At 54.4% G+C, this 10,736-nt stretch overlaps 3 annotated features.

Moving 5' to 3' along the window:
* Positions 2,888–3,077: a silencer, noted in NCBI's record as "silent region_12542". NCBI's record gives its function as "represses an Ori minimal core promoter by ATAC-STARR-seq in GM12878 lymphoblastoid cells {active_cell/tissue: GM12878}" and the evidence as "EXISTENCE:reporter gene assay evidence [ECO:0000049][PMID:35858748]".
* Positions 3,088–3,207: a silencer, noted in NCBI's record as "silent region_12541". NCBI's record gives its function as "represses an Ori minimal core promoter by ATAC-STARR-seq in GM12878 lymphoblastoid cells {active_cell/tissue: GM12878}" and the evidence as "EXISTENCE:reporter gene assay evidence [ECO:0000049][PMID:35858748]".
* Positions 3,388–3,437: an enhancer, noted in NCBI's record as "active region_17428". NCBI's record gives its function as "activates an Ori minimal core promoter by ATAC-STARR-seq in GM12878 lymphoblastoid cells {active_cell/tissue: GM12878}" and the evidence as "EXISTENCE:reporter gene assay evidence [ECO:0000049][PMID:35858748]".

The following is a 10,736-nucleotide window of genomic DNA, read 5'->3' as shown; positions in this document are numbered from 1 at the left end:
TATCTTACTGTAAAATTAGCTGGCCATGGTGGCGTGTGCCTGTAGTCCCAGCTACTCAGGAGTGTGAGAAGGGAGGATCACTTAAGCCTAGGAGGTGGGGGCTGCAGTGAGCCAAAGATTGTGCCATTGCACACCAGCCTGGGCAACAGAGTGAGATCCTGTTTCTAAAAACAAACAAACAAAAAACAAACTTACTGAACTTATTGTACTGATATTTTTGAACCATGGTCGACTGTGGGTAACTGAAACCATGAAAAAGTGAAACCACTGATAAGGGGGATTGCTGTACTCCCTGCTGTGTCAGTGACTCAGCCTCCCTGGTGGAGGGAACGGCTGCTGGGGAACACATTGGAAGCTGGTCTTCTGGGTCCCCAGGAGGCAACCTATTCATGAAAATAATATGTTCATTTTATACAAGTTGGAAAATATAGAATAATATAAATAATTTGCATAAGACTCATAATCTGGTTCACAGGCAACCATTATAAATATTTGAAAAAAATTTTTTTTTTTTTTTAGACAAGAGTTTCGCTCTTGTTGCCCAAGCTGGAGCGCAATGGCGCGATCTCGGCTCACTGCAACCTCCGCTTCCCAGGTTCAAGCGATTCTCCTGCCTCAGCCTCCCGAGTAGCTGGGATTACAGGCACCCGCCATGACATCTGGCTAATTTTTTGTATTTTTAGTAGAAACGGGGTTTCACCATGTTAACCAGGCTGGTCTCGAACTCCTGACCTCAGGTGATCCACCTGCCTGGGCCTCCCAAAGTGCTGGGATTGCAGGTGTGAGCCACCGCACCCGGCCAAATGTTTGAAATATTTTTATGCAACTACAGGAGGGAAGAGAGAAAGAAAGAGGGAGAAGGGGAAGGGGGAAGTTGGGACCTAATAGGAGCACTTTTTCTGTCTGTTTTCCCCACTTACATTGTAGCTTGTGAGCACCTTGCTAAGCCATTACCATGTTTTATGCACAATAGTTTGATGGCTGCGCCATACTCCATGGGATGGATGTCTTATATAAATTGTTCATGTCATTGCGTATTTAAGTTGAAACAGCCCAGTGACATTTGAGCTACATCATTGTGCATCTCTGACATTTTCTCAGCACTAACACTCAAAAGTGGAGCCGCTGGCTCAGTGGGAAGGGGCGTTTTTAAAGCTCTGCATTTGGAACAAGTTACAAAGGAGAGTGCCATCCTGCGCAAGCCCACAGCCAGGGTCTGCATGCCAGAGAGGGCCAAGGAGTCTAGGCTCAGAAGGTAAAGCCAGTGTTTGGTCTGGGGTCTGATGCAGTCCAGTTAGTGACCAGGGTTGGTGTTGGCTGCCTCCAGGAGGCTGGGCGGGAGCCAGAGGCTGGGCAGCCAGTTAGGAGGCACCCGAAGGCACCTGGGCATCACCAAAACGGGTTTGAATGTTCCCAAAACTTAAATTCAGCTTCAGGGCTGGGTGTGGTGGCTCACGCCTGTAACCCCGGCACTTTGGGAGGCCGAGGTCAGGAGTTCGAGACCAGCCTGGCCAACAGGGTGAAACCCTGTCTCTGCTAAAAATACCAGAAAAATTAGCCAGGCGTGGTGGTGCATGCCTGTAGTCCCAGCTACTCGGGAGGCTGAGGCAGGAGGATTTCTTAACCTGGAAAGCGGAGGTTGCAGTGAGCTGAGGACACACCACTGCACACCAGCCTGGGCGACAAAGCAAGACTGTCTCCAAAAATAGAAAAAAAAAAATCATCTTCATCAGATGAAGAGCTGCCTCTGGTGAGGACAGAGAAGTGACCGAATCCCTGGGGTGCTGCCCAGCACTGCAACCTCTTGGGATATGTGGGCCAGGCTGCTTGGCCCAAGTCCAGGCGGGCACAGGGTGAGTCCCGGCTCAGGAGGGTTTTGTGAAGGACACTGAGGGACGCTGTTGCCATCCACTTGGAAACGCTGAGTGCCCCAGAGTGGCAGACACAGTGTCCAGTCCTGGCACTGAAGAGCTTGACTCCCGTCCGTCCCAGCAGCCGTCTCCCATAGTCTGGCGAGGCCGGGAGGCCCAGGCTGCCACACCGCACGCGCCTTCCCTGTGTCCTTCACCCATCTCGCCCCTGAACGGGATGCCCACTCTACGCCCAGCTGGCCAGGCGCCGGAGACAGTGGTGGGCACACTGGACAGAGCTGGGCGTCCCCTTGGGGCAGACTCTTGTCCCTGGGTTACACAGCTTCGGGGGTTGGGTTGGGTGGGGTTGGGGCGGACGTCCCGTGCAGGGCAGGACAGGTCAGGGCGCACTGGTCGGAGCTGGGGCCTGAGGCTACCGGGCGCTGAGGACGGGCGGCAGGTGTCCGCGCACACACCGGGCGCAGCCCTGTCCCCGCTGCCAAACCCTCCGCAGCGGCCGCGCTTACTCCTCGGCCAAGCCTGCTCTGCAGAGGGGGAAACGGAGGCTCCGGCCAGCGGGGCCCCAGCTGGTCAGCGCGTCTCAGCCTAGCGGAAGCCTGCGTCCCTGGGCTTCCCTGGTGCCGCTTCCCCGCTGTCCGCGCCTGGCGCCCTGGGAGCGGGGGTCAGAGTCGTGACCCGAGGAATCTTGGGGCCGATGAAGCAGGAGGACAGGACCCTCCTGGAGCCGGGGGACGACGGTGCCCGGTGCCCGGCAGGTCAGGTGGCGCCGGAATCGCGGGGCAGGGGTCCCTCCGGCCGCGCCCCTTCCCTTCCGCGGCACATTCTGAAGGTTCTGCCGATGGAGAGAGTGGGGCTGGAGAGCGAGATGCTGGACGGGGCCGAGGGACAGGGATCTGCTGTTGGGGAACGGAGGGCTGCGCGGACCACGCACCGGCCCCAATCCCCCAATCGTCCACACCCCTCCTTGTGGCTGGAAACCCTCGGGTACCCCCACCTGCCCCAGGCACCCGTCTCCAACAAGGGCACTTCTGCCCTGTGGGGCCGCTACTGCGCTCTTGAAGCCGGGAGCTTCGCACCTGTGCGCAGAGAAGCCCCGCCCCTCCCAGCGGCCACGCCCCAACAACCACGCCCCCACGCGTGGCCCCGCACGGTCCTCGCCTCGGAGGCAGCCCCACCCCTCTCTTCGGTCCTCTCATGACCACGCCCCTTCTCACCCCGCCCCTGGTGACAGGCCCCGCCCCCGCCGCGGCCCCGCCCCACACGACCACACCCGCCTCGGCCCCGCCCCTCGCCTGGCCCCGCCTTTCATGGCCGCGCCCCGCCCCTGGCCGCGGCCGGTGTCGTCCTCCGTGGGCGCCGGGGCTGCTGCTTTCCTTGGCGTCGCGAGCGAGCGGTGGACTTGCCGGCTGGGTGCAAGCAGGGCGGGCGCGGAGCGGGGCTCATCTGGGGCGGCCGGGCCCCACCTGCAGCCGAGCGACGGACGGCAGGCCCTGTCCTCCCACAGGGACACCTGTCCTTTCCCTTCGCAGGCGTTCTTTTTCTTCAGCTGTTTCCCGCTTCCTGAGATCTGGAGGCCTTCTTTTTGCACAAATATGTTGTTTTGAAACACTGGGCATTGTTCTGAGGCTTCAGTCACGGCCTGCAGCCAAACGCAACTCGCATTTCAACCGAGCGCCCCGGCACTCTGGGGAATTAGGGGAGCGGATGAAAGATTTAAAAATCCACGGTCACTGTGCAGAGATAAGGAAATGTGATTCGTGTGTGGCTCTGAAACATGACTTTTCACTGAACGTCGCGTCCTGGGCATGTTCCCAGGCGATCCTTCACATTCCTAAAGGCCTGGTAATGCACCCATACCTGGAACCCCGGGCCACCCTCCAGAGTGACCTCATCCTCAGCACTGCCTCAGACTCAGACACCCGAAGCTGCAGAGGTGGGACCCCGCATCACAAGTGGGAAGGCGAGGCCTGCCTGGGGTGTGGACTCCCAGCTGCTGGAGGAACATTGTCCTTTGGCTCAGAAGAGAAAGCCAGTTTCTCTTCCGGCCTTTCCAGTTCCAGAGGAGCCCCCAGGGTGTCCCTGGTTTGGGGACAGTTCCCACTTACAAGCTGAAGGAGAATCCCACTCACCATTGGACAGAGGAGAAACAGGCCCAGCGAGGGGAGTGCTTGCCTGTACAGAGTGAGTTGGTGGGGAGGTGGATAAAAGTCTCGGGGTGGGAGAGACCCCCAGGGGTCCAGACTGAGCCCACACCAGGATGGTCGGACGACCCAGGGCCACCTCTGCCCCAGGAGCTCACCTGACAACCCAGGGGGCGGTGAGACCTCCTTGTTGGGGGCATCCTCCTTGATGATGCAAAGCTGCCAGAGCATCCCAGGGACACCCCCAGGGGCTCTGACACCTGCTGTCAGAGTCACTTTCCCCAAAAGGACCTTCTCCTGTAGCCCCCAATGTTGTCCTCAGCTCCCCCACTTCTCTTGATCCACCAGGCTTCATGGCCAAGATGGGTGGGCCCACTGTGTGACTGGGGGTCCCCTGGGGGAGAGTCAGCAGTCTACCCCACCCCTCTTTGAGGGCCCATGGAACCTGGGGATTCCCTTCTGGAACCCACTCCCAGGGAGAAAGCAAAGTACCTGGCCAGGAAGGTGAAGCCCAAAGACAGCCCGAGCCGCTCACCGCCCCCGCCCCGTGTTCTCTGTGAGGGAGCCCCCTGGAAGGGGGTGCTTCTCTGACTCTCCCAAAGTGGGAGAAGCCCACTGGGTGGCACAGAGGCCTCCAGCCTAGGCCCAGAGCAGGGGTGGCTGGCAGAATTCTATTCCCAGCACCCAGGTCACAGCATCACTGCTGCCACTCAAATGCCACAGGACAGACTGGACAGGCGGAGAGAGACAACAGCTTCACCTCCCCTCCTCCTCTAGGCCCCTGGGACCCCAAGGGAGAATCTGAACTCTAGCAGACGAGCCTCTGTCTTTGGCCTAATCATCTACCCACCTGGGAGACCGTTGCCCTCACACAGCATGGCCTGGCAAGGAGAGAGGTGTGGGCCACATCCCAGCCTTCTTGTTAAGTGTGAAGTCCAGGTCCTCCTCCCCCAGCACCTTTCTTTCCCACTCAGCACATTCAGAGCCTGGCTACGGCCACTTCCTTTCTGTTCCAGGTATGGGGGACGTCACACGGCCTTTAGGAACGTGAAGAAACACCTGGGAACACATCCAGGGCACGATGTTTGGCAAAAACACGTTTCAGAGCCGCACGTGAATTTTGTACAAATGTGAATTCTCTCACAAGCATGGATTTTTAAATCTCTCATCCACTCTCCTAATTCCTCAGAGTGCTTGAGCGCTCAGTTGAAATGCATGTTACGTTTGGCTGTGGGCCGTGACTGAAACCTCAGAACAATGCCCAGTCTCTGCCCCCCTCCCCCTGCCCCTCTCTTGAAGTGGCCTCTGCCCTGTGTGGTGACCCCCAACCTCAGCTTCTGGGTGGGCCTCTGGCTAAGTTGGAAGTGGCTGCCACCCCACACCTCAGAGTGTTTCTGACAACACTGAAATTGCACCTTCGTTTACGCTGAACCTTGCAGCCTAAATCAGCAGCCCCTTTCTGACTCCTTTAAATTTGGTGGAAAGATTTTCTCTCCCCATGGGACATCTTTCCTGCCTCTGGCTTGGCCACTCCTCCCTCCAGGAGGCTCACCTGGGCCCTCCTGGCTTTCACCTCTCTCCTTGTCAGCCCAGTGTCTGCACATCCGCTTTGCTTTTCCTTCGCCTCTGGGCCTGACATGTGTGTTTCTGGCGTGTTCCTTCAGTGAGTCTCGTATCACGTCACGGATTCTGCATCTGCCAACAGCTTCCATGACTTAAGCATACCTCCCTCCCTACTCCCCAGGCGGTTGATCCTCATCCTTCCAGGGGTGTCCCCCATCAGACCCACAGCCAGGACTCCCCATTAGGGACACAGATGTAATCGCAGTGAATTCATATCATTTTATGTTGCCCCAGCTTTCAATTTTAAATACTTTTATTTTACTTTTTTTTGGAGACAGAGTCTTGCTCTGTCACCCAGGCTGGAGTGCGTGGTGCCATCTTGGCTCACTGCAACCTCCACCTCCCAGGTTCAAGCAGTTCTCCTGCCGCAGCCTCCCAAGTAGCTGAGACTACAGGCATGCACCACCATGCCCAGCTAATTTTTATATGTTTAGTAGAAACTGGGTTTCACCCTGTTGACCAGGCTGGTCTTGAACTCATGACCTCAGGTGATCCACCTGCCTCGGCCTCCCAAAGTGATGGGATTACAAGCGTGAGCTACCGTGCCTGGCATATTTTACTTTATTTTTTAATTGATACAATAATTGTATAAATTTATGGGGTACATAATGATGTTTCCATACATATATAGTGATTAGATCAGGGTAATTAGCTTATCATCTCAAACATTTATCATTTTTTCATGTTGGAAACATTCAGTATTCTCCTTCTGGCTATTTGAAGCTATAGGAGATATTATTGTTAACTATAAAGCATCCATTTTGCATACAGATGCTCCTGGACTTACGATGAAGCTGCATCCCAATAAACACATCATAAGTTGAAAATATCGCAAGTCAAAAATGCATTGAATACACATAACCTACCAAACATCATAGCTTAGCCTGGCTTTCCATAAACGTGTTCAGAACACTAACATCAGCCTGCAGCTGGGCAAACTCACCTGGGGACACAGTGGCCTGCAGAGTGAGTCGCTTACCCTCCGCCTGGTGCGGCTGACCCGGAGCTTCAGCTTCCTGCCATGGGTATGGTAGGACGTATGGCTAGCCCAGGAAAGATCAAAATTCAAAGTACAGTTTCTACTGAATGCATATTGCTTTAGCATCATTGTAAAGCTGAAAATTCCTAAATTGAACCATCATAAGTCGGATACTCTCGGCATGAGTTCAACTTTCTTGTATCTGAAGCAGGACAGGCTCCGACAGTTCATGAAACTTGGCCACTCGCTTTAACCTTTTTCCATTTTAGAAAAAAAAAAATTCAGCTCCCTGCTAGCGCTCATTTAATTTTACATAAACATACTCTTTGAGGCTGAAGCAAATCTGACTAATTTTTAATGTGAAAATAAAATATAAATCTATTCTTGGAGGCCAGGAGTGGTGGTGCACACCTGTGGTCCCAGCTACTCAGGGGGCTGAGGTGGGAGGATCGCTTGAGCCTAGGGGGTCAAGGTGGCAGTGAGCTGTGTTCGTGCCATCCCACTCCGGCCTAGGTGACAGAGTGAGACACTGCCTCAAAAAAAAGAAAAGAAAAAACTGTTCTTGGAGTTATTTCTAAACAGAACTAACGTCAAAATCATCTGAATCATTAGAATGATCCATCTGGGGCTGGGCGTGGTGGCTCACGCCTGTAATCCCAGCACTTTGGGAGGCCGAGGTGGGTGGATCACTTGAGGTCAGGAGTTGAAGACCAGCCTGGCCAACACTGTAAAACCCCGTCTCTACTAAAAATACAAAAATTGGCCAGGTGTGGTGGTGCATGCCTTTAGTCCCAGCTACTCGGGAGGCTGAGGCAGGAGAACTGCTTGAACCCAGGAGGCGGAGGTTGTAGTGAGCCGAGCTGGTGCCACTGCACTCCAGCCTGGGTGACAGAGTGAGACTCCATCTCCAAAAAAAAAAAAGTAATCTATTTGTGAAAAATTTATCAAACGGATCTTCAGCCAACAACTGTTTGAGGACAATATTAACATCACGTGTAGGAATGCTGTGTTTTCTAGGACTTGAGGTTTTCAGCCATAGAGAATGACTATATTTTGTGAATGGAAACATCACTACTAAAGCCAGAATGCTATGAATCGTGACGTCTTTTGTTTCCGAAGTCAATATACCAGAGTGATGTGAAAATAATGAAAGTGAGATATTGTGTGGCAAAGTTATCTCTGGGTAAATGCTGCAGCCGCAAGCGCTGTTGGTGACTATTCTTGGGGCAAATGGGAAAAGGGTTAAACCTGCTAGTTGGAACTCCCCAAGGGGAGCCTGCCTGGGTAGGACCCTGGGGCCCAGGAAAGGGCTCAGCCACAGCCCCTCCCGCGCTGTCCGGCTCCCACCTGCTGGCTGACATGTGTGTCCCGGAAGGCTTCCTCCTTCCCACTGGCCCTGCGAGGTTTGCTGCCCTGTTCCCTCTGGGATCTGAGTCACGAAACTGCTTCTGTAGCTTCACGTGTTAGTGGGGCCAGCTCCTCTGTGTCTCCCCTGACTGACACACCTGAACCTAACTTCTTTCCCAGTTAGGGCTCTCCTAGAGAGTGGACCACTTAGCAGGAATAAACCCAACACAGGTCAGACCAGAGCCACAAGGGCACCTGCTGGTGTAAACAAGCCCCTGGTCACAGGTCAGGCCCCCAGGCATTAAGCCGTCTGCCAGGATAAAGAAGTGTCCCTGAAAGCTCACTGTGCCCACCCACCACCACCAGCTCCCCCGGAGCTAGATTTTATGTCCACTCTCCAGAGAGAGCAACCCTAGACCAAACTAGAGTAAAACACAACAAGAGTAGAAAAATGTAGTAAAATAATTAGGAAGTGATGAGTTTCCAGTATTTATTATCCATGTTTGTATTTGTGTGTGTGTTTGAGACAGCGTCTCAGCTGACTTAGCTAGACTCCCAGGCTAGAATGCAGCGGTACCATCACGGCTTACTGCAGTCTCTGACTCCTGGGCTCAAGTGATCCTCCCACCTCAGCCTCCTGAGTAGCTGGGACTACAGGCATGAACTGCTATGCTCTGATAATTTATTGTTTAAGAGATGGGGTTTTACTATGTTGTCCAGGCTGGTCTCAAACTCCTGGGTTCAAATGATCCACTCACCTTGGCCTCCCAAAGTGCCGGGATTACAGGTATGAGTCACTGCACCCACCTCTTATTATCTGTGTTTTTAAAATATAACTCATTTGGTTATAAGTGTTTATAATTAATTTTTAATAATGACTGTGTTTTAACAACCAGCTCAGAATTCCTGTAAATTTAAGGCTGGGCTCCCGAGACCCCCGGGAATTGGCTCCAGCACATCTCGAGGCCCTGCAGCTCCTACAGTGTTTCTTGGGTTCCCTTTTGCAGTCTGAACCCCACGACCTTGGGATGCAGACAACAGCAGCCTCCGCACCTCCAAAACTGTCACCCCAAACTCTCAACCCAGTGCCTTTTCCAGTGCCTGCCTGATCTACGTGTGGCCACATTTTCTCTGGAATTGTCCAAGGTTGGGGGACCCAGTTGCTGTCATAGGCCCTCTGTGAATATCTCAGGAAGTGCCCCCCAGCAGTCTCTGGGCGTCTGTCCTGGAGTGAGATGAGACTGTCTGTAAGCCACCCTGGGCCTCCTGGTGCCCGGGCTAATGGTGATTCTCCAAGCCAGTTACCCAGGCACAGGCCTCAGATTTGGGTCAGTCTCCCAGCTGTGGCCACTTCCGCAGAGGAAGAGAGGGGCCCAGAAGTGCTTCTTGTTCCATCCTGAGGTCAGTGACCCTCCCTGGGTGAAGCAAGGTCAGGACCCTGCCATTTAAAGCCAGTCCAGGCTGATGGGCTTGACCGACCCGAGGTGGCCTGAGAGCACTGTCTGGAGGGGGATGGGTCGACTCAGGATGCAGCGGGGCAGAGTGAAGTTCACAGCAGTACACTGTGGGTGGCAAGCAGCCCCGACCCGCACCAGCTCACCTGCGTCTGGTCCCAGCGTCCCTGGGGTCTCAGTCTGCGCACTGAGAGACGCCCACTCAGAACCTCTGGGGCTGCACCCGTTGGCTCCTGCCACCTTTCCCGGGGCCCTACCCCTCATTCTACCCTGCAGACCCCACCAGGGAGTGTCCACCTGGTCCCGTCTGGCCCTGTCCAGGGAGCAAGTCCTACCACTGAGCTCACCAAGACTGAAGCAATTTCAATTCCAGTTCCTGCTGGCTCTGACTTAATACCTTCATTCATTGCTTGGCTTTTCAGCCTCATCTCTGCAGTGGGGCTTGAACCCCGTCCTCCTGTGGGACATTGGTCCCCGCCGGCTGAGGCTGGACGCCAGGCCACTGTCGCCTGCTTCCAGACACAGAGCACAGCAATCCCAGCCCACTGCTTTGAGTTCCTCATCCGTTTCTATACCAGAGTCCAGCCATGTCTTCTTTCTAGTTTATCCCTCATTGATGTAGTTGGAGCTAGAAGAATGCCCTGTGAATTCACAGTCATTTGGGGCTGAGATTAAAGAATAGAAGTTGACATTGGGTGGGCCGGGACTCTTGGCCGGGTGCTGGGGAGGGATTCCCATCATCTGCCCCGTTGCTGCTGGCACCTGGATCCAAAGGTGGCACATTCTAAATGAGGTCAAAATGGCTAAAATGCCATATGGCATGATGCAGAAAAGGAATGCAAAGACTGAGAGAGACAAGCATATTATAGCAGATAACACTGCACCCTACTCTACCTAGGCCCCCAGAGGGACCCAAAGACCCTCCCTTCCCAAGGGGCTTAGAAATACTCTGGTGGGGCTGGGCGTGGTGGCTCATGCCACCCAGCACTTTGGGAGGCCGAGGCGGGCGGATCACGAGGTCAGGAGATCGAGACCATCCTGGCTAACACGGGGAAACCCCGTCTGTACTGAAAATACAAAAAATTAGCCGGGTGTGGTGGCGGGTGCCTGTAGTCCCAGCTGCTTGGCAGGCTGAGGCAGGAGAATCGCTTGAACCCAGGAGTCGGAGCTTGCAGTGAGCTGAGACCACACCAGCTGACTCCAGCTGACTCCAGCCTGGGCGACAGTGCAAGACTCCGTCTAAAAAAAAAAAAAAAGAAAGAAAAAAGACTTACTCTGGTGGGGGGATGCCACCCTGGGCCAGCTCTTAAGGACAGAAGGT

This window comes from Homo sapiens, chromosome 2 (genome assembly GCF_000001405.40).
Source record: "Homo sapiens chromosome 2, GRCh38.p14 Primary Assembly".
Lineage (NCBI taxonomy): Eukaryota > Metazoa > Chordata > Mammalia > Primates > Hominidae > Homo > Homo sapiens.
This window is presented reverse-complemented; position numbering and strand designations above follow the sequence as displayed.